The 26911-nt window shown below is 50.2% G+C and overlaps 1 protein-coding gene across 6 annotated transcripts in view, besides 3 other annotated features; it reads left to right on the top strand.

Annotated features, from left to right (window-relative positions):
• The window catches only part of CDH22 (cadherin 22), a 134760-nt gene that overhangs the window by 66294 nt on the left and 41555 nt on the right, over positions 1-26911 (top strand). For all 6 annotated transcript variants that reach the window (XM_024451966.2, XM_047440373.1, NM_021248.3 and 3 more), the window contains exons 3-5: positions 948-1242; positions 14578-14697; positions 25212-25379. In XM_024451966.2, the coding sequence (XP_024307734.1) occupies positions 1056-1242; positions 14578-14697; positions 25212-25379 (475 nt within the window). In that variant the 5' untranslated portion in view covers positions 948-1055. The remainder of the gene's footprint in view (positions 1-947; positions 1243-14577; positions 14698-25211; positions 25380-26911) is intronic.
• Positions 10968-11168: a silencer, noted in NCBI's record as "peak4226 fragment used in MPRA reporter construct". NCBI's record gives its function as "represses an SCP1 promoter by STARR-seq MPRAs in K562 erythroleukemia cells {active_cell/tissue: K562}" and the evidence as "EXISTENCE:reporter gene assay evidence [ECO:0000049][PMID:32103011]".
• Positions 24748-25283: an enhancer, noted in NCBI's record as "H3K27ac-H3K4me1 hESC enhancer chr20:44845561-44846096 (GRCh37/hg19 assembly coordinates)". NCBI's record gives its function as "activates a minimal SCP1, AML or CMV promoter by ChIP-STARR-seq in primed H9 embryonic stem cells {active_cell/tissue: H9 hESC(primed)}" and the evidence as "EXISTENCE:reporter gene assay evidence [ECO:0000049][PMID:30033119]".
• Positions 25822-26358: an enhancer, noted in NCBI's record as "H3K4me1 hESC enhancer chr20:44844486-44845022 (GRCh37/hg19 assembly coordinates)". NCBI's record gives its function as "activates a minimal SCP1, AML or CMV promoter by ChIP-STARR-seq in naive H9 embryonic stem cells {active_cell/tissue: H9 hESC(naive)}" and the evidence as "EXISTENCE:reporter gene assay evidence [ECO:0000049][PMID:30033119]".

Here is a 26911-nt window from a genome sequence, read left to right as displayed (position 1 = left end):
AAATAAAGATAGAAAAACCTACTCTAGCAGGTTTTTAAAAAAAGCATCTTTAACTAGAAAAGTACATAAATTGCTTAGCCAGTGCCTGGCACATGGAAGGTGCTCTTTCAGTTAACATCCCTTCCTCCTCTCTCCCTTCACTCCCTGTCATGTGCTATGTCTTGAGCCTGGTTCTCCATATACCAAAATGAGGAAGATGCCACCCCAATCTCCTGGGGTGCAGAGTCTAGGGAGCAGTGGACCTGTAATTCACAGTGAGGTCATGGACCAGCAGCCTGGAAGTTTGTTAGAAATGCAAAGTCTGAGGCCTGGCCCCAGACCTACTGAGTCAGAATCTGCATTTTAACAAGATCCCCAGGTGAACTGCATGCATACTAGAGTTTGAGAAGTGCTGGCTACAGCCATCCTACAAGGCTGAACATGATCATGATGGCTTGATGTACCGAGAGATCCTGGGGGCAGGGGGAGACTGAGGATCCAGAAAAGCTTTCTGAAAGAGGTGGCATTTTTGTTGCACTTTGCAGGATGAGAGACTTTCCATGGGCAGAGAAACAAGGACAGGGCTCAAGGCAGAAGCCTCAGAGCTGTGCGTGCTAAAGGGGAGAGAGGTGTGGAGGTGGTGCTGGACTTCTTTGTGAAGGCAATGGGAAGCCACTGGAGGGTTGTAAGCAGGGAGGCCATGTTCAGATCTGCCTCCAAGGCTGATAGCTCTGAATGCAGAGGGGAAAGCAGAGTCCAGGGGCAGGGAGGGCCCCAGCGGGCTGAGGAAAGACTCCAGGCCAGGGATGGAAGTGAGCGTGGCTGCTGGGCCTCAGTGTCCTCACTAAAGATGTGTATGTGCTGGAGAAGAGATGGGCTTAGGAATAGGCAGCCAATGGCATGAGACAGTGAGGCCAAGAGGAGCTTCCTTCTCAGCCTCCACCTTGCCTTCTTCTCTGCCTACCCAGATCCACTCCGACTCAGACGAGGGTGACGGGGCCATCAAGTACACCATCTCAGGCGAGGGTGCTGGGACCATCTTCCTGATCGACGAGCTGACAGGCGACATTCATGCCATGGAGCGCCTGGACCGCGAGCAGAAAACCTTCTACACGCTGCGGGCCCAGGCTCGGGATCGCGCCACCAACCGCCTACTGGAGCCCGAGTCGGAGTTCATCATCAAGGTGCAGGACATCAATGACAGTGAGCCCCGCTTCCTGCACGGCCCCTATATTGGCAGCGTGGCCGAGCTCTCACCTACAGGTGGGCTGTGGGCCCTGGGGGTGGGGGATGGGATCAAGGTGATCCCCAAGTGGAGCCTGCTGGGAAGGGGAGTAGCTGATCCTCTGGGGAGGGACAGAAAAGACAGAGCCTGCTGACCTAGGGTACAGGGTACAGATGTGAGCTCAGGTGCCCCCTGGGGTCAAGCATAGTCCTGGACAAAACCACACACATGACTTCAGCCACATCCATGGACACAGCCCCCCATGAACGTGGACCCGCATGTGGACACAGTGATGCCCTCGGACATGCTCATACAGCCACACCCAGTCACGTATGGAGACACAGCTGCAGATCTGGACATGCCACATGCACAAGCCCAGCCCCGCATACAACTCACCACTACACTGGTACACAACCTCATTCATAGATCCAGTCCCCTACACAGGCACAGCTGGACAGAGTCACACACACAGCACAGCTGGACGCCTTGACAGAGCCCTTCACAAAAGTTCAACTGCACATAGACACAGCGCAGCCCTTGGCAACAACCTCCACACAGACATAGTCCCATCTTCAGGCACACCCACCACTAGGAACAGCTAGATTGGGACACAGCTGAAACAGGGCCCAACCACACACTCAGACCCACGACCTCACACCCTGACCTAGCCACACACAACCCCAGGCAGGAAACAGGCCCTTACGCAGATAGTGCTTCTGCACAGACTCAGCCATGTACAGAGACAGAGGCAAAAGCCACAAGCAGACATGAGCATCCTGGGGTCCAGCTCCCCTGGTGTGCAGCCGCAGACAGGCATGGGCACAGGCAGATGAATGAGACAGGCAGCTCTGTCTACAGCCCAGAGGAAGCCACAGCTCACCGAGATCCAGCCAGCTAGGGACAGAGCCTCACACAGAGATGGCTAAGCCCCCAGACACAGATTCAGTTGCACTTACCTGGGTATGACTGCACACACCCAGGAGCACTGCACACATGATTATGCCCATAGAAAGTGAAGTGCACACACACAGAAATATACATCTCTGTGTAGACATCAGACACAACCATACTCAGAAAGGGCCATGCACACAGCAGCAGGACACTGAGGCTAAAGCTGCATGACTCTGCCTTCTCCCACCAGGAAACCCCCAGACCGTTTCTGACCATCAAGGCCCCACTTAGCTCAGGGCTCCTGGGGCTCTGGTAGAAACGGGAGTCATGGGGTGAGGGGCACAAGCCAATAGCTGCCATCTCCTTCCTACCACGTTACTCCAAGTAATCTGCAAGCCAGGCTAGACAAGAAGCAGCTGCCCTAGGTCCTAAGCCACGCTCCATTGCTGACTCGCTGTGGCCAAAAGTTGGATGCTGTACCTCTCTGGACCTTCCAGCTCTATGGCTGCGTGTCAGAGGCCAGGAGTGCTTGAGCTCCTGGGAGAGGGTGCTGTCAGCCCAGCTTCCCCAAATTGGGCCAAATCTGGCAGCTTGCTGGGATAATGAGCAAGTAGCCAGTAGGGGAAGGGGAGGAGGTGAACCAGAGAGAATGGTGGGCAAGGGATGAGGGGGAAATAGGGAACAGTGGGGCTGTGGATGTGAGTGCAGACTGGTGTACACACACAGGAATGCATGCATGCATGCCTGATGTACATGTGTGTTCCACATATATATGCAGATGTGCACACACAAACACCTAACCAAGAAGCACTTTAAGGCCTGTGTGTGCATGTGACATGCTGTGTCTATATGAGTATATTCATTCATTCAACAAATATTTATTGAGTGCATACTACATGCTAGGCCCTGGGAACACAGCAGTGAAAAGGCAGAAGATTCCCTCCTCTCATGGAGGGCCCATTCTTCCTAAGGAAGACAGACAATAAGCAAGTGAACAACTAGATCATTGGTCCAGTAAGGCTTCTCTGAAGACCTGGAGGAAGTGAGAGCATGGGCCCTGGGGGGAAGAGCATTCCAGGCGGAGGGAATGGCACATGCAAAGGCCCTGCAGTTGAATTCTGCTGAGAAGAAACAAGGTGACCAGATCATGCAGCCATGTAGACCATAGCCAGGGCGTTGCCTTTTATGCTGAACAAGCTGAGAAGTCAATGGAAGGTCTTGCTCAGAAAAATGACATGATCAGGACCCCATGGCTCTTTCATGAAGAATAGATGGGCAGAAAAGAGGGCAAGAGCAGAAGCAGGTGGCCTGTGAACAGGAAGTGATGGTGGCTTGGAACAAGATGGTACCAGTGGAGGTGTTGAAAAGAGGTTGCCTTTTGGATATATCCTAGAAGTAGAGCTGAAAGCATTTGCTAATGGATTGGATATGGAGTGTGAAAGAAAGAAAACTCAAGGATGACTGTTAGGATTGTAACCTGAGCAATTAAATAGATGGATTTCCATTTACTGAGATTGAAGGAACAGATTTGGGGGATGAGAGGAAATTAGGAGTTTGGCGTGAAGTTTGTTAAGTTAGAAAAACGTATTATGCTGCTGAGTGGAGATCTTGAACAAGAGAGTTGAATATCCAGGTTCAGAGGAGGTCTGGGCTGGAGAGATAAATTTGGATATTATCAATGGCAAAGACATATGGAATTTCAGAGCCTGGCAAGAACTTAGCATACAATTTTGCTAATGGGTAAACTGGGGCTCAGAGAGACAGTGACATGTCCAAGGTCACACAGCAAGTCCCTGACTTTCTAGGTCCGGCAGCCCCTACCTACTGACTTAAACTCACAGCCCTGTCTCCCTTCACTTAAAACTGACCTGCACATTTCTGCATTAAAAAGTCCAGAAAGGTGGGGAGAGCTGATGCTAGAGAAGGAAGCAGGAGCCCCATCTGAAGGACTAGAGGAAAGCAGGTAGCCTGGGAAAGGCCTAACTGAGGGAGTGACATGGGAAGACTTGCATTTTGGAAAATTCCCTCTGCTGCACTGTGGAGAAGGGCTGAGGATGGGGAGGTGCCAGGGGAAGAGCAGCCTCATCTCCACCATGGTGGCTCCTCCATGACCACTTCACTCTCACTGTGACTCTGAGAGGTGGCAGGACTAATGGTAGCATCCCCATTGAGCAGATGGGAACACTGAGGCTCAGAGAGAAGAAAGTACCTACATAGCAAGTCAGTGACAGAGCAAGTTGCTGGGCGTGGCTCCCAGGTTGTTGGAATGGCAAGGGTCCTTGTTTCACAGGTGGGGAAACTGAGACCAAGAGAAGGGCAAGGACTCATCCAAGGTCATGCAGAGAGTAGGAGGCAGAGGCAGCCCCCAGTTTATGACCACTGGCCTATGGAGACCCAGCTCTGTCTTGACTCCCTCTCCCAGCCCACTGACTCTCACAGTCCACTCAGGAAAAATGTCGGGAGTGGGGGGGACTCAATTTGAACCAGCTGGGAACCAAGGAGGGGGAAGGGAGAAGCAGAAATTAAATTAGTTTATTTCATTTGAGCAACTATTTGAAGGGGAAGCAAATCTGACACCATGGTGCTTGCAGAGACTCCAGGCAGCTTTGAAAATCAGTCACAATTACTGAGCCTCCTGATCCGGCTGTGGAGGGCGGGGCCGACAAGCAGCACCAGGGTCTGGGCAGCTTCGGAGATCAGAGGGAGCAGGGACGCAGCTTGGGACATGAAAGGCAGCAGCGCTTGCAAATTAAACCACTCACAGCTTAAAAGGGAAGGGAAGTGTGCCGGGGGGCCTCCGATGAGCCACGCTTCTGAGCAGGGGCACACCAGTCATGTTAAGCCTGATGCAGCCAAGTGGGCCCTGAGTTGATAGTCAGGACGCCTGGTTCCCTGCAGGACCTTGGTCGACTTCCTGCCCCCTCTGGACCCCAAGTTCCCTTCTGAGCATTGAGAGGGTTCATTCAAGCATCAGATGTTTATTGAGTGCCTGCTATGTGCCAGGCACTGTTTCAGGCATTGGGGATTCTTAGGAAACCTACATACTATAGCAGGGAGAGTCAGGACAGAGACAAGCAAATGTATAATATCCAAATAAATAATTAAAAATATAAAATAGGCCAGGTGCGGTGGCCCATGCCTGTAATCCTCGCACTTTGGGAGGCCAAGGCCGGTGAATTGCCTGAGCTCAGGAGTTCGAGACCAGCTGGGCAACATGGTGAAACCCCGTCTCTACTAAAATACGAAAAAAATTAGCCAGGTATGGTGGCATACACCTGTAGTCCCAGCTACTCGGGAGGCTGAGGCAGAAGAATTGCTTGAACTGGGGAGGCAGAGATTGCCGTGAGCAGAGATCATGCCACTGCACTCCAGCCTGAGTGACAGTGCAAGACTCTCTTTCTCTCTCTCTCTCTCTCTATGTATATATAGATAGATAGATAGATAGATAGATAGATAGATATTAATATATAAATATATACAAATATAGATATTAATATATATCTATATATAATATATTATATATTATATTTATATATAATATATATTTATTTTTATATTTATATATTTATATATAAATATATTATATATTATATATAATTAAATATATATCTATATATTTATATAGATATATAAAATGAATATTAATATGCCTGATGGTGTGAGTGCTATGCAGAATAAAGGAATTAGGAGCAATTTGCGGGGAGTGTTATTTTAGATAGAGGGGTCAGGGAAGTCCTGTCTTTCTGGAGGAGGACATCTGAATAAAGATCTGAAGGAAGGGAACCAAGGAGCTCTGTGAAACAGTGGTTTTCAAACTCTTTGGTGCATCCACATTACCTGGAGGGCTTGTTAAAACACAAATTGCTGCCCTTGTCCCCCCCAGCGTTTCTGGCTCACGAGGTCTGGGCTGTTAGAAATGTCTGCATTTCTAACAAACTCCCTAATGCTGCTGGCATGGAGACCATACTTGGACAACCACTAAGCTACAAGAAGAATGTTCCAGGCAGAGAGAACAGCAAATGCAAGGGTCCTGAGGCATAGCATGTTTGTCGTGTTTGAGGAATAGCACGGAGGTCTGTGGCTGAAGAGAAGTGAGTGAGTGGGAGAATATCTGGAGTCTGATTACCTCAGACAATGGATCACACAGGACTTGGTAGCCATTGAAAGGTTTTTGGTTGTACTCTGAGTGAGATGGAGAGCAGAGGTTTAATCTAATCCAGCTTATATTTTAAAAGAACGACTTGTTGTCCACCATGTTGAAAATAGACTGTAGGAGGCAAGGTTGGGAGTAGGGAGGCCAATGAGGAAGCAATTGCAATAGTGCAGCAAGAGGTGATGGTGACTTGGACCAGTGTGGATGGTGAGACAAGATGGAATTCTGGATGTGCATTGAAGGTAGAGCCAACAGGGTTTGTGAGGGATTGGTTGTGGGGAGTAAGAGGCAGAGGAGACAAGGACGATGCTGAAGTTTTGGGCCTGAGCAACTGAATGGATGGAGCTACTGCGGCTGAGATGGGGACTGCTCCAGGAAGAGCAAGTTTGCAGAACAAATTAAGAATTAATTCTTGGGCAAGTTAAGATTGAGGTGTCTACTGAACATCCAAGTTCATATGTCAAGGGGACAGTTGGATCTATGAGTCTAGATGTCAGAAGAGAGATGAGGCTAAAGATACAACTTTGGAAGTCAGCAGCAGAGAGAGGGAATTTACAGCTTGATGCTGCATACATCAACAGGGAGTAAGTTTTGATAGAGAAGAATTGGACTAGACATTCTTTCAATGTCAGGGAGCCACACCCCTTCCCTAGGCTGTCACAACCTGAATGGGATGGCAAGAGGATTTCACAGGTCTCCCACACCCAGCTCAACTCCTCCTACTTATTCATGCCAATCTTGTGCAAGACACTATGCCTGGCACTATTGAAGTTACTGAAGACAGAAATGAGAAATTCAATTCAATGTGCATTTATTAACCACTACTTTATTCTGGGCACTGCAGAGGATGCAAAGATAAGTAATTGAATTAAATCCACAAATGTTTATTAGCACCCATTATACACAAGGCCTCCAATGTACTTGGCTCTGTAGGGCTTGCAAAGATGAGTCACCCAACTTAGCAAACATTTATTAGCACCTACTTTATATATAGCCCCACAGAGGACAGAGAAGTAGTTGCTTTTAATTCAATAAACACATATTAGGCCTACTATGTGCATAGCACTTTGCTAGGTATGTAGAGATCACAGATGAGCAAGACACCACCCCTGACCTCAAAGTGGTAGCAGATCAGTTTCGTCTCTTGTGCTAACTCAGATCAATTGGTAGTGACTGTTGGGCTGTATTGAGAAGGAGTCTAAGATCTCATTCAGCCTTGGTAGAAAAAATGCCATGATGGATTAGTAATGTCTGCCATGGGCAAAGGAAGGAGAATGTCATAGCGCACATGCCATAGAATTGACATTGCCAGACCATGGGATTGGGGCTCAACAGAATGTGGAAACGGGCACTTTTCCATGTGTTTCAATTCCTCTGTGAGCAGCATATTTAATAGATGGGAAAAGACTGTCTTGGTAGTACAGCCTGCACTTCTTGGGATATTCACTAAATAAGAGCTATCAGCAAGCACTGCTTTCACAGAGCTATTTCCCTTTATTCTCACAATCCTGAGGAATAAGCAGGATCAGTATTAGTGTCTTCATGTTACTAATGAAAAAATAAATGCAAAGTGATTTTTCTGAGCTTCCACAGTAAGAGCTGAAGCCAGAACTAGACCCAGAAGCGGAAACCAGAACCTGAGTTCCTTGGCTCGGCATCCATAGCTTTCTTTGAGGAAAGAGTCACAATCATTTCTTGCACAAAACTTCACAGCTTGAAAATCACTTTCACATCCCTAATATCATTTCAGCCTCCTGGGGACTCTCTTGGGTTAAGTACTGACATCCCCATTTTACAGCTATGGAAACTGAGGCTCAAGAGGGGAAGGAAAGTAAAACTGGGAGAGCACACTATCTGATTCTTAAATTCGGTGCTTGGGGGAACAGAGAGGAAAGGAGGAAGGCAGGAAGGAGTGTGTTCCCCAAGGATATCATTTGGAGAGGGCAGCAGCAGGCTGGGAGCCTCCAATTGTCCCGTCTGTAGCTGGAGAGAGTGTAGCTCAGCAGCCCGCAGGCCCAAGCCAGGAATCAATCGCTGGTCTCTGCAGAGACAACTTCTAAAGATGTTTTTAATTAAAGTCCAGGAAGATCTATACGTGCAATATCTCCTTGCCTAGCAACGGCACTGGCTCTCACCACCCGTGCTGGGGGGAACGGGACAGGAGGCTTCTGGTGGGGAGAAGCAGCAGACAGGAGCCGAGGCCCTGGTCCTCAGGAGTTGGCCCCATGGCCCGGGTAATCTGGACAGGGAGGAATATATCCCTGTCTCTTTTTGTCTTTTCCATCAACAAATCATCCAACAAATATGAGCACTCTCTGTATGCCAGGCCCTGTGGCCACATGGCATTAGGGTGCAAAGATGATAAAGCTACCATCCTGCCCTCGAGGGTCTAGCACATAGTAGGTGCTCTGTAGATGTTGAGAGAATGAATGGAATTGAATCATAAGCAAAAATGTTTGCTTTCTGCCATGAGTAGAAGGATGCTATCACAGATACTTCAAATGTTGCAGTCCGAAACAAACAAAGTCACTAGATTGCATAACAGAGGGCCTGGTAAATGTTGAGAGGACAGAAGCGCTTGTGGGTCTATTTGGGATATAAGAGAGTGCTCTCTCTCAGGAGGACATAGCAGATCCACACACACACAGTCAGGGGTCGCCTGGATGGGCAAGTCCATGGCCGGGATCCATAAGGAAAGAAAAGGTGAGGAGGGGAGGGTGTTTCACGTTCCCTGGAGACTCTGGAGGAAGGTGCAATGCAGCAGGCCCCTCACCCCACCAGGCCAAACTTCACCTTCCTCTCCTAGTTCCTCCTCCTGCTCTGCCCCCTCTTCCTGCTCCATATGTACCTCTGTCTCTGTTCTATTTGCTCTGTCTCTGTTTCTAGATTCCTCTGGTTTCCTACTTAACCTCTGTGTTTCTACTGCTTTCTGTCTGTCTCTGCCCCACGAACTTCTGTCCCTCTGACCCTTCTTTCTCTGTCTCTTACCCGCTTTCTTGACCCCTCTCTCTGTGCTGCCTTCTCTGTCACTTGTCTCTGGACCTGCCTCCTCCCATGCAGCCACTTTCCTGCATCTCCTGTGTGCCATTCATCTGCATTAGGCTGCCCTGGCTGGGAGGCTAGAAGCAGGGTCGAGGCCAGCCCAGCCAGCTGGCATTCTAAGTGATGATCGAAGAGGGAGTTGGGAGGAGGGCAGCAGGGGTGGATGTTGAGAGGGGGCTTGTTTCCTGTGTAATCTGAGCGTTCCCAGAGACTCGACAAGTGGTTTTTAATTTTTAATAGAAAGCATTCTGCACAGTGCTGGCAGCAGCAGGGGTGGGACTCATTTTTTATAAATGTTTGAGAAGCTAAATGTGAGCCTAGGGTTTCCCCAGACCCAGTGGGGTGGCAAAAGGAGGTAGGGAAGAGGCAGGATGATAATAATTACAAACGTCTTCATAATAATGACATGTGGTCACCTCGGCTGAGAACTCTGTTCTTTTCCAAAGTGCTTCATCTCTTTCTCTCATTAAGGGGTCTCCCACACCCAGGGAGACAGGAATGATAAAGTGTTATCTCCATTTTACAGAAGGGGAACTGAGGCCCAATCAGATTGGGAAGTTTTTCCACAGCCACACAAAGCCAAGGACAGGGCTGGAATGAGAATGTATGTCTGTAATCCCTGAGCTCCACTCCATGCAGCACCACCCACTCCCAGAGCCAGCTGGGGGGCTCCTCCTGGGGGGTCTGGAACTTGAGTCTGGAGACTCAACTGCACTTCACAGATAGCAAGGATTAAGGGATAAGAAAAAAAAAGAATTCTGGCCTGGGATCCAGGACACATATTCCAATTCTTGTTCCACAACAAACCAAGTCAGAACAACACAGAGATGAGGAGTAGGCAAGCCCCCTCCCTCCTGATGCTGGTGTCCAGGGGTCTTCTACTCAGGGAGGCACAGCCCCAGGTGCCTCCTGATGATACGGAGAGAAGGGAAAGGAATGAGCTTCTGTTAGGCACCCACGACACACTGGGTCCTTAAATCCATCATTTCTAATCCTCATAGCAGCTCAGAGGCTCAGAATGGGCACCCCTTAATGTTACAGGTGAGGAAATGGATCAGAAAGGGTAAAAGATCTGACTGAGGGTGCAGAGTGAGGAAGTGGTAGGACCTGAAACCACAGGACTCTGTGATGCCAAAGCCCACCCAGTCTCCATGGAGATGCGAGGGCATCTCCTCTGAAGAGTGTCCGACTTCTCATGCTGACTTCAGCTGGGAAGAGCTCTAATGACTTGGTGGCAACATTATCCTACCTGCTTCCTTCAGGTGTCAGTCTCAGAACAGGCTCAATGAGTCCAGGAGGGCAGCATGCTGGCTAGGCAGACCTGAGTTTGAATCTTTCCCTACTGCTTACTAATGATGTGTCCCTGGGGAAGTCATCGAGCCCCTCTGTGACTCAATTTCCTCATCAGTTCAGTGAGGGATTCAGTCTAGGGCATCAGTTTTTAGACCGAGAGACACTTTAGATGCACTCTGGAGACTGTGAAAATACCTTTGCCTGGGCTCCTCCCCAAGAGTCCTATTTAATTGGTCAGGGATGGGGCTCCACATCAATGTTATTTAAAGCTCCCAAGAGATTCTAACGTGCTGCCAAGTTGAGAAGCTCTGATTTCTGTGCTCTTCAAGGACAAGCCATTCCATATCTAACATTCCACATGGATCCATGGGCCCTGAGATCCTGTTTAGCCAAGAATCAGTTGGGCAACCCTTCCCATTCCAGCCTGGACCTAGGCCCTTAACCACCACTTAGCAGAAGGGCTGGGCAGCAGCACCACGGACAGCAGCCCGCTCCTGTCAACCAGTCCCAGCTCTACTTCTGGAAGTCTGGGCTTGGACCAGCTGTAGGGGAGGGAGAATCTAAACCCAGCTCCTGTCCTTCCCCTCCTCTGCCCCCCTGCTCCTGTGTCTGAGTCCTCCCTCTCTCTGTCTCACCTATCTACTTCTACTCCAAGCAGCCCCTCCTCCTCCCTCTAAGGCAGGATATATGTGGGCTTTGACATCAGATCCACGTGGGTTTGAAACCTGCCTCTCTCCTGCACCAGGTGAGCTTGTCAAGGTACTGTCCTTGGTGCTGAGCATAGAAATCTGAGTTCTCACAGTGATCCACGAGTTTGGTAGTATTCTTACCCATCTCACTAATGAGGAAATGGAAGCACTAAGAGGTTCATTACTTAACTTCACTCAGCCTCCATTTCCTCCTCTTTAAAGTGAAAATATTAAAAGCTTATCTGAAGGCCCTGTTTTGTAAATTCTATCATATACAAAAAGGGCTTATATCATAGTATCTAGTACAAAGTTGTTATTTAATAAATGGAAGCTATCTTTATCAGTTATTGAATAATGTTACATAATTCATAATGGATTTCATTATTAATTCATGTTTTCACCCTTCACTGTGCATAGCAGTCTCCTCAGCTGTGAAATGGGGATGGTGCAGGGGTGTGCTGGAGTCAGCTCGTACCAGCTCACGAGAGCCACATGTTGATTTTCAGGAGTTTTGTGGGCCAGTTGATATCATGTTGGTAGCTTGAAACTGGGCCATGGAGAGAATATTTACACCATGGAAATCAGCAAACATTACAAAGCAGGGCACTCCTCCCGACCCATCCACCCCTCAGAGCTGACTCACCAACAAACCACTGCGTCTATATCACAGAGCTGGTGTGAAGTCTGCAGGAGAGAATGGACATGATGCGGCACTGTGAAATATAAACTGCTGAACCTGTGGGACCACCCCAAGGTGGTCCCACAGTAGCTACAAGCCTGGCACCCTTTTGTCAGCCAATTCTGGGGAGCTGCTGACTTCTGAAGAAGGTGGGAGGGGGTGTGTGGCCCAAGGAAGCCATTCCTCTGGGGCCTGGGAAACCAGTGGTGAATCACTGACCCTTTACCATTCCCACATGTCGGCATTAACTATAATGGCTGCAATAAAGAATCCTGGATTGGGGAAATGGTTCCATCATCCCCTCGGGAGTCCCTGGGATGCAGCCAGGGAGAGAGAGAGCTCAGCCATGTCTCTGGGGAGTCACTCAGCCCTGCATTGTGCTTTGCCCAGGGAGTGGGAGGGACTTGCCAGGGGAGTGACAGGGAGACCCTCTCTCATAACAATTACAACAGCCACTAGATATTGTGCACCCACCATAAGCCTGATGCTTTATGTATCTTCTCCCATTTCAGCACCTCTGTGAGGGAGGCATAATTGTGCCATTGTATACTGGTGTGCTGTGCCTCTTGAGTTGACAACAACAACCTGCACTTATTGGGTTCTTGGCATGGTTCAGGCACTGTCCTTGGTGCTGGACGTGGAAATTGAATTCTCAAAATGATCTCAGGAGATCTGTAATACTACCACCCTCATTTCACAAAATGGGGAGATTGAAGCACAAAGCGGTTCATGACAGATCCAAGGTCAAACTTCTAATAAGTGGCAGTGCCATCGCTGGTTGTGACTCAGTACACCAGACCACTGTCCCCAAAGTCACTGTACTTGTGCTGATACTGCTTCCCAGAAGGGACTTGGCATCCCAGAGTCCCGGGTTCAAATTCCACCACTTCCTCACTCTGTGCCCTCAGTGAAATCTTTTCCCCTGTCTGACTTGATTCCTCAGCTGTAAAATTGGGGGGGGGGGCCACTCTGCATCTCCGAGATGCTATGAGGATTAGAGATGATGGATTTAAGTGGCTGGTGAAGCCAGTGTGTCATGAGTGCTCAATAGGACATAATTCCAGTCCAGCAAGAGGCACCTGGAGCTGTGTCCTCCCTGAGTAGGAGACCCCTGGGCACCAGCATCTGGAGGGAAGGGGCTTGCCCATCCCTCTTCCTCAGCTTCTCTGGTCAACTCTGACATGGTTGACATGGAGCTGGAGTGGCCAAAGAGAGAGGCGCATTGCAGGGACGTTTTAGGAGACTGTGGCTGGGAGGGGGAACCTGGAGAGGGAAATGAGAAATGCAAAAGAGTGAAAAATAAATACATGTGTCTGTCTGGAATGATCGAGGGCCCCAGGCTGGAGGCGGGAGAGGCGGGCGGCGGGCTGGGCTTAGCAGAATTGCTGCAGTAGCACTTCCAGATTCTCACTCATTAGCCAGGCAGTGAACTGGCCTCACCTCCCAGCATGCAGCCCTGCTGGCCCAGGGAGCCCAGCCCAGCCCAGGAGGGGCCTGCCTGGCCCCACCAGCAGGCACCCAGCAGAGGGCATCTCTCTGAGGTGGGGTCTCCATCTCCTTCCCTTTGGGTCGTATCCTGAACCCCCAAGACTCACTCTTGAGTCTTCCAGCTCACCCTCTTCTTTCTGGAAAGGTTTGGGTGGATTCAATGGCTTTGTTGGCCCCTCCACCTGACCCTCCCCCACCCTTACCCCCACCCCCACCTGGTCTAGCCTCACGTCCCAAGCCCTGCTTTCGTCAAATTGAACATGATGTCAAATTAGAGCCATCTCTGGGACAGACCAAAAGAAGCTCCCGGTTTAATGAGGCAGCGTCAAAAATCAATAACTTAATTGCCACTGTTTGATGGACTTTTATCCAATTTATACTCTCCCCAGCAGTCTACGTGCAGAGCATGAGAAGTGTGTGTGTCTGGGGGTGGGCTGTCTGGGCACCCAGGGGGAGGGGCGAGGAGGGCACCAGGGCCCGCAGCCAACAACTTTCCAAAGGGAAGGCTGGGTGCTGCCCTCTCCTGCCGGGGGCCAAGAGACACTGGCCTCTGACCCCCGATGAATTGGTCTGTCCCTCTGGGCTGTCCCCTACCACCATCATGCGGGGAGAGGAGGCAGAAGTCCCTTGAAGAATCAGTAGGAGCTGGAGTGGGTAGAATGGCCCCTGGGTTGAGAGTCAGGTCCTGGTTTCCAGTCCTGGCTCCAACTGACTGTGATGACTGTAATGATTGTCGCCATCATTGAGAAACTTCTGTGAACAGCTCTGTGCTGGGAGTTTAGAATTCATCCCCTCAACCTAGTGAACCAAGCACTAGGATTTGCCTCACTTTGCTGAAGAGGAAACAGACTCAGAGAGGCTGCCTTTCGTTGCCAGAGTCCTACAGCTGGGAACCACCCCAAGGGGACTTGAATCCAGATCTGACTCCATGGTCACACTTGCGCCACCAGAAAGGCCTCAAAACAGGAAGAGGGTTGGGGCTCAGAGTGGGGATGGGGACCGTGAGGGGCTGTATTCGATGGCCTCCCGCAGGTCTCCCGAGGGTCTCCTCTCCCAGCTTCCCTGGGGTGAGGCGAAGTGGGGGAACGAGCTCCGCAGCCCCAGATGACCCCTGTCTCGCTTGGTCCCCCGGGCCCAGGCACGTCGGTGATGCAGGTGATGGCCTCGGATGCGGATGACCCCACGTACGGCAGCAGCGCTCGGCTGGTGTACAGCGTGCTGGACGGCGAGCACCACTTCACCGTGGACCCCAAGACCGGTGAGGGGCAGGGCGGGGCCAGAGGCGGAGCCGTGGGGCGGGGCCAGGGGCGGGGCGGGACGAGGACCACCCCAGACGTCTGCTCTGAGCCTTCTGTCCCAGAAGCTCTGAGGACAGCACAGGGGGCACCTTGTGCACAGCAGGAGAGTCCAGGGTCGCGGAGAGGGAGGGGCAGCCAGGCAGGAAGATGGACGGACTGAGGAACAGAAAAGGAATGGGGTGGGGGGTTCTTCCAAAACTGGAAGAGAAACCGAAAGGCAGGAAGCAGCCGCTGTGGGTGCCCTAAAAGGACCTTAAAGGTCCGAACTAAGCGGCTTGTCCTTGGAGCTAAGTTGAAGCAGGCGTTTGAGCTCTTCCGGGGTCACAAGTGTAGTTTGGGGAAGGGAGGACGGCTGGTTTCAGCAGTTTTGAGAGCTCTGCCCACATGGCAGTTGTTAAGGACCTGATGGAAAAACACAAGCATCTTTAAGGAAAGGTGTCTAAGACACAGAGACCTTTAAGGAAGAGTGGCTTCTTTCTTGCTTATCCCCTCAACACCACCAAACGATGGTGCAGCACGCCCACCCGCTGTCCCCACTTCACTCACGGTGACATTAGAACCTGACTAATCTCTGAGAAGCCTTGGGGGAGTGCGAGGAGGACAGGATGAGAAGACTGAAGACCAGAGAGGTGAAGTGACTCACTTGAGGTCACACAGCTGGGAGTGGCTGCCAATTCCAGCGGGGTGCTCTCACTGCTCCTGGGATAGGAGGGGCCTGGCTTGGGTGAAGGCGGGGAATGAGATGTCAGACAGCACAGAATGTTTATCAAATGCCATTGTGAGGCTCACAGCCCTGTGGGGCAGGAGGATAGGCAGATATGTAGGGATTAGGATGCAAGGCTTCTCGGAGGAAGTAGCAGCAATCTACAAAGGATAAGAAAGTGTCTGCGGGTGCAGTGGCTCACCCCTGTGATCCCAGGACTTTGGGAGGCCAAGGTGGGAGGATTGCTTGAGTTCAGGAGTTTGAGACCAGCCTGGGTAACACAGAGAGAACCCATCTCTACAAAAGAAAAAATTAGCTAGGCATAGTGACAGGTGCCTCTAGTCCCAGCTACTCAGGAGGCTGAGGTGGGATGATTGCTTGAGCCCAGGAGGTCGAGGCTGCAGTGAGCTATGATGGCACCATCACACTCTAGCCTGAGCAACAGAGCAAGACCCTGTCTCAAAAAAAAAAAGAAGAAGAAGAAGAAGAAGAAGAAGAAGAAGAAGAAGAAGAAGAAGAAGAAGAAGAAGAAGGTGTTGCCAGACCAAGATTTCAGAGAAGGGCATTCCAGGTACAGGGTATGGCTCAGGCAAAAGTTGGGAGAAGTGGAACAGCCTGGGGCATGAGGGGAATTGTAAGCAGCTCAGGCTTCGGCAATCAGGTTTGTTGAGAGGTGACGTCGAGAGGGTGGCAGGGGCCTGACTGTGCTGGTGTGAGCCAGGCTAAGGAGCTTGGATTTCATTCTAAGGGCAAAGCTGGGAAGTGGGGTTGGGGGGAGTTGATGGATTTGGGTTTTGGGTTTTTGTTTGTCTGTTTCCTTTGTCTGGGGGAGAAGGGAGAGGATTCCAATCCATGAGCACAGTTGTAATTGTATTTTCTCACACAAAGTATCTTCATTATTTTTTCTCCCCAAAAAAGTAATACATTTTATAAAACATTCAAACATTAAAGAAATGCTAAAAAGAAAAAAAAAAGAAACGCTTCCCACTCCCTATCACCAGTAATTGCAGCCCCAAAGGTAGCCACTTGGTGTATACATCCTATGAGATCTTAGACTCATTCACTCGAAAATATTAACTCACATTTAATAGATAATACATCTCAAGGTTCAAAATTCAAAAAGTCCAAACAGGAATTTAGTAGCAATTCTTCACCCCATCCAGTCCCCCAGCCACCTAGTCTGTATCCCCAAGGCAACCAATGTAATTTTCTCATGCATCTTCCAGAGCTATTCTGTACATGTACAAGAAAATAAGGTACATGTATTTATTTTTTTTACATGAATGGTAGCTATAAACACACTATACACACGGCTTGCCTTTTTCACTTAACAATACATTTTGAAGATTATTCCATATGAGTACATAAAGGGCTTCCTCTTTCTCTTATTTAATGGGTGTTATGGATACACTAAAATTTATTTCACCAGTCCCCTGCCGATGGACACTTATGCTGTTTCCAATCTTTTGCTACAACAAACAATGCTACAGTGAATAACCTCACACATACATCATTTTGTGCTTGTGTGAGTATATCTGCAGGATAATTTTCAGGAAGTGGAGAAGCTTGGTCAAAGAGCACATGCATTCGGAATCTCGATAGATAATGCCGAAATGTACCAGACGACACTCCCGTGAGCCACGTGTGAGAGTATCCATTTCCCCTCCTCCTCACCTACAGTGCAGGTTCACTGATGACTACTAAGCAAGGAAATGACATGCTCTGGTTTTAATTTTAACAAGATCCCTTGGGCTGCTGCTACAGAGCTTGGCTCAGAGGCAGGAATTAGAGGCAGGGAGGCCCTGGAGCCCAGGATGCCCAGCATAGAGTCCCAAATGGCAAAAACCAAAAGCCTGCGCCCTTTCTTGACAGTCACTCAGACTCCTTAACCTACCTGTCTAGCTAGGAGGCCAGGGATGATGAAGAATTCATAGTGAGGATTGATTGAGATGCCGAGAAGAGAGAATAGGGGGTGGCAGTGAGATCCTGCCAAGGACAAACCTTGGGGGCCAACACGAATCTGCAGGACTAGGTTGGGGGAGGAGGCAGAGTTTCTTTCCATGTAGTAGGATTTATTCATCTAGGCAAGGGGTACCATCAACAGAAACAGGAGGAGTGTAAATTAAGAAAGCTACTAGAGCAGAGGAATGAGTGAATGTGCCCTGGAATCTGATGCAGAGCTAAAAAATTCAGCTTTAACCATATTGGCTTTAAGATGAGCGAAAACAGGGAAAGAAACACCTAGAACTTCTAGCAGGCCATGTGAAATACAGGTGTGGAGCTCCAAGAATGGTTGGGTCTCTTAAAGCTTCAGTTTCCCCATGTGCACAGGGGAGAGAATCATACCCATCTCACTTGATGGTCGTGAGGATTCAATGGGACAGTTCACTCATTCATTCAACCACTATTTATTGAGTGCCTATTATGTGCCTGGCTCTGTGCTAGGCACTAGGAATGCTTCAGTAGGCAAATCTAAGGCTCTGCATTCATGGCACTTTTATTGAAGTAGAGAATATAGAAGATGAGCATGTACACATATAACATAACGTCAAGCAGTGACGAGTGTGAGGACGAAACCTAATGCAGAGGAAGGACTTAGATTAAGACTTCACAGCCAGGCATGGTGACTCATGCCTGTAATCCCAACACTTTGGGAGGCCGAAGCGGGTGGATCACTTGAGGCCAGGAGTTTGACACCAGCCTGGCCAACATGGTGAAACCCGATCTCTACTAAAATACAAAAATTAGCCGGGAGTGGTGGCACATGCCTGTAATCCCAGCTACTCGGGAGGTTGAGGCAGGAGAATTGCCTGAACCCAGGAGGCAGAGGTTGCAGTGAGCCAAGATCGCACCACTGCACTCCAGCCTGAGTGACAGAGCAAGACTCCATCTCAAAAAGAAAAGAAAGAAAGAAGGAAGGAAGGAAGGAAGGAAGGAAGGAAGGAAGAAAGGAAGAAAGGAAGAAGAAAGAAAGAAAAAGAAAGAGAGGAAAGAAAGAAAGAAAGAAAAAGAAAGAGGAAAGAGAAAGAAAGAAAGAGAAAGAAAGAAAAAGAAAGAAAGAAAGAAAGAAAGAAAGAAAGAAAGAAAGAAAGAAAGAAGGAAAGAAAAAGAAAGAGAAAGAAAGAAAGAAAGAAAAAAGAAAGAAAGAAAAAGAAAGAAATCACAACAGGCCTTTCTGGGGAAGTGACCTTGGGGCAGAGACCAAGTGCAGTGAAGGTATGAGCCATGCAGATTTCTGGGGACCAACACTGCAGGCCAAGGGAACAGGAAGTATGTAAAGTGCTCAGCCTGAGCCCCAGCACAAAAGGATAGTGATGGTGATGAGGAAGCCTTCATGCATTCAGCCTGAGGAGGTGGGGACCCTAGGGTTGATAAGCCTTGGGGAGATGGGGAGAAGAAAGAACATAGAAATAAGAGAAGGGCCAAGACTGAGTCTTGGGAGGTGGCAGGGCTGGGCAGATGAAGGATCAGAGAGTGGGGAGGACATGAGAGTGGGAAGGACAGCCAGTTTCTAAGAAACAGCATCCCCCGCAGCAGAGGGCCCAGAAGATGGTGACAACTGGGAGGCCACCGGGCCTGGGGGAGCAGAACAGTTCCCAAGAGGTCAGAAAGTGAGGACCAGGCAAGGCAGTTGAAGGAGTTCAAATGGGGTCCCTGCTCCAGAGCCCCTCAACTCTTCAATCTGAAAGGGTCCTTTCTGGCACGTCCCAGGAAGAACCAGGTTTTGCCTCCCCTTGCCCACAGCCCCATGGCAAGAGCTGCCCTGGTGCCATTCCCAGCCCCAGCTCTAGTTCCCCAGCCAGGAATATTCTGCTGATGCGGGTCTATATTTAGCAGCTGCTGCGAGGTACAGTCTGTTCTTGCTGTGCAGATAGCAGGGAGCAGAGCCGGAACGGGGCCTGGGAGGAAGGTGTGAGGGAAGGGAGGAGGCGGGGCGCCGCGAGGCCCCAATGCCAGAGGAGGAATTAACTTGTGTGTTTTAAAGGCCAGGCCTGCCAGCAGGCCCCCCACAGGGGCGACAGGGATGGCATTTGTGTGCTAATGAGGCATCACACGGGCTCCAGGGCCCCTTTTGCAGCATTTGGAGGGGACAGCAGGGGAGGCCAGGACAACAGCTGGAACTGGGGACGATGGGTGAAGACAAGGCTGCGGGAGCTGAGGCCAGGTTATAATTACCAGCCCCCGCCCACCACCACCCCAGCAGGAATAGAAATGTTCTCCGAGATTTCAAGATCTCTGCTGAAAATTGTCAACTGAGCCAGAGTCATCCATTTTACAGGGAGGGAATGAAACTAACATTTGTTGAGCACCTTCTAAGTGCCAGATCCTGGGGTCAGGATAATGAAGTAGACCTGGTTTCTGCCCTCACGGAGCTTCTGCTCCAGCAGAGAAGCAAATGGATAGCTACACCCAGGCTGTGAGAGGGGCAGTGGAGGGGCACTGGGAGTCAGCCAGTCAAAACGTCATTTGAGCACTTGCTGTGTGCCAGGCCCTATAGACACGGGATGAACAAGACCAGCATGGATTTCTGCCTCTGTGAAACTTGTTTATGGAGGTACTCAATCCAGAACTTGAGGAAAGAGATCAGCAAGGCATCTCCAAAATGTGAGGCCTGCTGCTGGAAGCTTCCTCTCATTCAGTCCTCTCAACAGCCCTACCAGGTGGGTGTCTCCATTTCACATAAGAGGAAACAGAGGCTCAGAGAGGCCCAGGAACTTGCCCATGGTCAGCTAGCATGTAAATGGTGGAAAGAAGACTTGAGCCCATATCTGTCTGGCCCCAGAGTCCTCCTGCAGCCTATCTGAGTCTGTGCAGCCCCAGCACCTGTAGTAGGCCCTCGGCAAGACTGTAATGAATGAATGAGTGAACGGATGAAGTCAAAGAGCCAGAAGCTTTCAAGAACAACTTCATGGACTGTTTTGGAATATTTGTACCCCTAGATCTCTCAGAGGGCAATAGTCTCCACCGTGCTTCTCCCAACATCAGGAGGAAGACAGTGGAGTGGAACATAGTAGATAGGAAAATATGTTATCAATTCCTCCCCGCCCTGCACACGGCTGCTTACTAATGTGACTTTGCCACTGTTCTGGGCAAGAGGTGGAGTCTGTTTCCCTACCCCTTGAACCTGGGTTCGCCTGGGACTACTTTGGCCAATAGAATGTGGCAGAAGTGATGTTATGCAAATTCTGACATTAGGCCTTAAGAGACCTTGCAGCTTTCACGTTTACTGTCCTGGAACACAGTCCTGAGACTGCTATGTAAGGAAGCCAGCCTACTGGAGGATGAAAGAACCAATGTGTCCCCGCCGACAGCCAAGACCAACTGCCAGACATGTAAATGAGCCATCTTGGACCTTCCAGTCAGCTGCTCCTCCGGTTTAGGCTCAGATGCGTGAGTAAGCCCAGACAAAATCAGCAGAGGAATGGCCCAGCCAACTGGATTTCTCTATCAGTCATCTAGAGCTATGTAAAAAAAAAAAAAAAAGAAAAAAAAAAACCCAAAACCTGGTAGCTTAAAGCAACAATAATTTATTATTTGTCACAATTTGGTGTGTCAGCTTGGCAGTTATTTTGCTGGGGTCACTCATGCAGCAACAGTCAGCTGTCGGGTCGCTGGGAGTGACTTCACTGGGACAGCTGGCAGGACTAGGCCTCCCTCTCCATGTGGCCTTTTATCCTGGGCTTCTTCACAGTACAATGGTCTCAGGATTCCAAGAGGACAGGCCGCAGCATACAGGGGCTTATCAAACCTCTGCTTTTGTCACACTTGCTGATGTCCTATTGGCCAAAGCACACTTGCTGATGTCCCATTGGCCAGAGTCAGTGTGGGAGGGAATGACCCAAGGGCGTGGATACCGGAAGGTGTGGTTCACTGGGCACTGTCACCATAGCAACCTACCCTGTTCCCTGGATCCCGAGAACAAGGCCCAGGGGGCCCAACTCACACACACCCAGAGATGGCACCTGAATCCTACACACCACAAGGCTTCAGGACCAGTTTCCAAGTGAGAAGAGTGTCGTGTCCCCAGTTCCTCAGGAGCTGGAAGTGACAGGGACAGCAAAGAAGGCAGCCACGTGGAGCCTCTCTCACTCACAGAGGTGGAGCCAGGCCCCTGCTCCAGCCCCCACTCAGAGCTGGGACACTGAGCCTTTGGTGCCCAAGCCCATAGATACACAGTGACTCCACATCCTACCACGAATCCTGTACATTCACTGAGGTCCTGGATGGCAAGTGACCAGCACAAAGCTTAGCACACAGCAAGTGCTCGGCTAAAGTCACTCCCTCTCCACCTTTCCACCTGGGATCCCCTGCTCCCTGGCCTGGTGGCTGCTGCACTGTAAGCCTACCTGCCCTCCCCTCCCCACCCCCCACCATCTTTCTTCACCCTTCCTGCGTCTCCCTCTCTGTTTTCTGTATGTCTGTTCCCGCTCTCTCAGTTGTTCTTTGCCCATTTTTCTTCCCTCCTTTCTTTCTCTTCCTCTTTGTTTCTCTCTAGGTCTCTGTTTCTCTCTTACTGTCTCTTTCTGGGTATCTCTGGCTTTCTCTCTGGTTTATCTACCTCCCCCCGCAATCTTCCCTTCTCTGTTTTTCTGTCCCTTTCAGTCTCCCTCTCTGTCTGTTCCCCTCCCTTCCCCTCCCCTACCTTCCTTTCTTCCCTTCCTCTCTGTCTCTTTCCTCCTGTCTCTCACTAGGTTTCTCCCTGTCTCTCTTTCCCTGGGACTCCTTTTCTTCTTTCTCTCCTCTTCCCTGTCCATCACCTTCGCTCTCTTCCTCCCCTCTGTCTGCCTTCCATTCTCTCTTTCCAACCCCCCAGGGTGGAGAATATGACACACCCCACCTTCCCTGTACAGCCCCTGCTGTCCAGGGCTGCAAAGCCTCAGCGTCCTGGCTATGCACTTTCTACACGTGTGACCTTCAACAAGGTACTTAGCCTTTCCGTGCCTCTGTCTCCTCATCTATAAAACAGGTATAATCACAGGACCTTCCACATATGAATATTGAGAGGATTAAATGAGGCAATTCACCTAAGGTGATTAGAATAATGCCGGACACAGAGCAAATGCACATAAACATTAGTTGTTTTTATTACATGTAATTCTCATGAGATGAAATCCTATACGAGTGGTTCTCAACCAATCTTGCCCCAGGGTCCATTTGACAATGTCTGGAGACAGTTTTGGAACTAAGGCGACGGTTAGTGCTGCTGGCATTTAGTGCCGGGAGGCCAAGGATGCTACTAAATATCCTACAACATACAGGTCACACACACACACACTACAGAGAATTATCCTGCCCAAAATGACTGACTACAGTGCCAAGTTTGAGAAATCCTGTCATTTAAGTCAGTATGGTGGTTGTCCCATTTTACAGATAAGGAAACTGAGGTTCAAAGAGGTGAAGGGATTAGCTCAAAATCACATGACCAAAGAAATGGCAGATCTGGAATCTATCCCAAGGCAATCCACTGCCAAGACTCCCCTGTTCCTGGGAAGACCAGTGGTGGTAGAGAAGGGGTCAGGAGGGGGCCTACTGAGGCGTTGAGAAGGCCACTGATAGATGGTTTGTGTGACCCTTGATTAGGCAGAACACCCATTCCATATCTGCATGTGATCCCACGAAAGCAGGACCACCCCTTAGGTGCCCCACCTCTGGCTACCTACCACAGGTACACACAGAAATACACACACAAACACCACACATACACACACGCCCTACAGCCTCTCCTTCCATTCTGTTGCCTGTATGGGAGTCTGGGGACTGTTGGGGGACATCAGGTGTCAGAGCTTGGGTTTTATGGGGCGCAGCATGGGGCTGCTGGTGCATGACTCCACCTGGCGCACAGGCCCCGGGCACCACCTGTCACCACCTGGTGCTCGGCAGGTTGGAGTGGGTGGTGGGAGAGGCTCTGAATGCCTCATCGACTCCCCCGCCCTACCCTTGTCTCTTCTACTGGCAGGGAGACAAGAAGCCCAGTCTTCCCCACAGCAGAATTAATCTTGCGGTCACCCCCACGCCTGCTGCCCTCCCTGCTTCCAATAACAGCTTGGAGGACTGTCTGCTCCGTGATTAGCTGGTGCCTGGATAGAGGATCTAGGGCCTGGAGAGGGTTGGGGTGCACCTCTAAGGCTGGGGGATAATTTGGTTGTGGGAGGGGGTGTGAATAAGAATGTGAGGTGGTAGCTATGAGTGTGCATGTGTGTAAGGGACTTTGTATGTGTTCTTATGTCCATACACCACAAATGTGTGAACTACGTTGCATGTGTGTATACAGGTGAGTGTGACAGCATAGTGAGTGTACATGAGTGTGGACGTGAGTCCAGTTCACACCAGCCAAGCTGCTGCTCCATGCCTGGCTCTGGGCTGTGTGTTACTGACACAGGCCTGGTTCATGCATAGAATGTCAAGTGGGAAAACTGAGGCCCCAAAAGTGGGACTGGTTGCCCAGGGGAGTCACACAGTTGCTTTTGTGTTGTGTCTGTGTGTGAGAAAATGCAGGTGCAATGTGTGTGAGCAAGTGTGTTTGAAAGTGTATGTATTTGAGACCAAGTGCAGTGGCTCACACCTGTAATCTCAGCACTTTGGGAGGCTGAGGCAGGTGGATCACTTGAGGCTAGGAGTTTGAGACCTGCTTGGCCAACACGGCAAAACCCTGTCTCTACTAAAAATGCAAAGATTAGCCAGGCATAGTGGTGCATGCCTGTAGTCCCAGCTACTCAGGAGGCTGAGGCAGGAGAGTTGCTTGAACCCGGGAGGAGGTTGCAGTGAGCTGAGATCGCGCCACTGCACTCCAGCCTGGGCAACAAAGTGAGATTCTGTTTCAAAAAAAAAAGAAAGAAAAGAAAAAAGAAAAAGAAAAAAAGTGTATGTATTTCAGTGTGTGTATGTGTTACAGTGTGTATGAGAGTGTGTGTGTATATGTTAGTGTGTCTGTGTGTGTTTGTGTGGGAGGATGTGTATTTGAGAGTATGTGTGAATGTGTGTGGATCATTGAGTGTGTATTTGAGAGTGTATCTGTTTGTGTGTTTGTGTGTATGTGAGTATGAGTTATTTGTGAGAGTGCATCTGTATGGCCAGGTGTGAGTGTGTGTGTTTCTGTATGGATGTGTGAGTGTATCTGAGCCCATGTGCATTTCTGCATGGGCAGGTATGTGTGTGGGTGATCTGTATAGGCCTGTATGTAATTCTGTGTGAGTCTGTGAGTGTATGAGTGGCAGCATGTGACTGGATCTGTAAGGTATATGAGTGTGTGTTTGTGAGTGTATCTATAGGAGTGTGTATGAGTTTGTGAATGTTTCTGTGTGTGTGAATGTATCTGTGTGTATCTGTGTGTGTGTGAATGTATCTGGGAATAAACCTGTGAATAAACCTGTGTGTGTTATTCTGTGTGAGCCTGTGTGAATGTATCTGTAGAAGTGTATGTGAGTATATGAGCATGTGTGTACATCTGTGTGATCATGTGTGTATGTGTGAGTATCTGCATCCATATGAGCAAGTATGTGAGTCTATCTGTGTGACCGTGTGTGTGAGCATGTGTGAGTATATCTGTGTGGGCATGTGTATCTGTATCTGTATGAGCGTGTGTGAGTGTGTGTGGTGTACACTGAGCCCTGTCCCACATGGTGGACACGTGGATGTCCTTGTGTGGCCCACTCTCCTCCTGAGCTTAATTTTCCCAGGAGTCACAGGGTCTGAATCCCGCCTGTACAGGGGTCTCCACATCAGTGGGCAGGTGGTGTGGGGTGCCCTGGCCTCACCCTCACTCACCCACAGGCGTAATCCGGACGGCTGTGCCTGACCTTGACCGCGAGAGCCAGGAGCGCTACGAGGTGGTGATCCAGGCCACAGACATGGCGGGTCAGCTGGGTGGCCTCTCGGGCTCCACTACCGTCACCATCGTAGTCACCGACGTCAATGACAACCCGCCCCGTTTCCCGCAGAGTGAGTGAGGCCTTCCCAGAGGAAGGCGCGTCTGTGTGTCTGTCTGTTACCCCATCCAAGCCACCTGCTGACCCCAGCTTCCCTTTAGACTTCCCACCAAAAGAAGGGCTTCCCCCTCTCTTTCTGTCTGTCTGTCTGTCCTCCCAAGCCACCAGCTATCCCCCAGCCCCCCTCCAACCATGCTTCCTACCAAGGAAGACCCCAGGGCTGTCCGATGCTCCACAGAGCCAAGTAACACACCATCACCTTCCCAGACCTCCTCTTGCTTCCGGCAGAGGGGGAGCCCCACCCATCCACCCTTCCGTCCATCCTCCAACCCCTCACTGGCCCCTGCCCACTCCCCTAGCCACTTGTTGGGCCATCCCATGCCGCTGACCTAGGCTTGCAGAGGGAAGGTACTGGGGAGAAAGGGGGCACCCAGGGATCTAGGCAGAGGCAGCTCAGCCCCCAGACAGATAGAGGTTGTGCAGAGAAAAACTAAGTCTGAGTGACAGGCATTTCCCTCCTCCTCTGAGCCTGGGTAGCGCGACTCTGTGCTTCTGAATTAGGAGGCCTTTCCACCCTCTGCCTCTGCTGGCACAGCGGGGGTTGGGGGATGTCTCCGGCCCAGCCTCCCAGCTCCCTATCAGCCCAGCCAACCCCTCTGTCCCAGGCTCAGGCCGAGAGCCACTACAGGGAAGCCACCAAAGCTGGCAGGGACTAAATGCCGCAGGAGCTGGGCTGATTCCTATCGGGTGAGTCATTACTTGAGGTCTGCTGCTCTCACATTAGGCCCCGCCACAGGGGACTGACCCCCGAGAGATAAGGGAATCCAATCCCTTAGCTGAGAGCGCAGCATCATTGTGGCCTACAGCCTCAGCTCAGACACAGAGCGGAGTGAGCTGAGCTCACCAACCGGCTTCCCGGTGCCAGGGAGCCTGGCACAGAAGCCATCCCACTGCCCAATCTCCCAGCCCAGCCCCAGCCCCTGAAGGCAGCCCCATGCAGACGGGTGGCATGGGTGGGACGCACCCCCACCCAGTCTTCTGCCCACTTGTGCCAGGCTCTGAATGAGCTCTGAACTGGAAGGGGTGGGGCAGAGCAGAGAGGAGGCCAGGGCCCCCAGAAGGTTTGCTTTCCTGCTCGTCATTCCTTTCCTCCTTCCTTTCTTTTTCTTTCCGTCTTTCTTATCATGAACTATGGCACACAAAAACAACAGTTCAACAAATAATTATAAAGCAAACAATCCTATGACCACCAGCCAGGACCCCAGAAGCCCTAATATGCCCTTTCCTGATCATAGCCTCTTCCCCAACTCCTCCCTCCAGTTAGCCACTACCTGCTTTTGTGATGGTCATCTTTTGAGTCTGTTCATCTACGCAGGCATCACCAGTCACAAGTCTAATTTCATCCATTTTTGAACCTTATATAAATGGGATGAATCATACAATACAAATTGTTTTTGTCTTGCTTTTTACCTCTCAAAATTGTGTTTATGAACTTATGTTGCTGGTAGCTGTAATTTATTCATTTTCTTTGCTGTATAGTATTCC

The sequence above is a fragment of the Homo sapiens genome, chromosome 20 (assembly GCF_000001405.40).
Source record: "Homo sapiens chromosome 20, GRCh38.p14 Primary Assembly".
NCBI classification, from domain to species: domain Eukaryota; kingdom Metazoa; phylum Chordata; class Mammalia; order Primates; family Hominidae; genus Homo; species Homo sapiens.
This window is presented reverse-complemented; position numbering and strand designations above follow the sequence as displayed.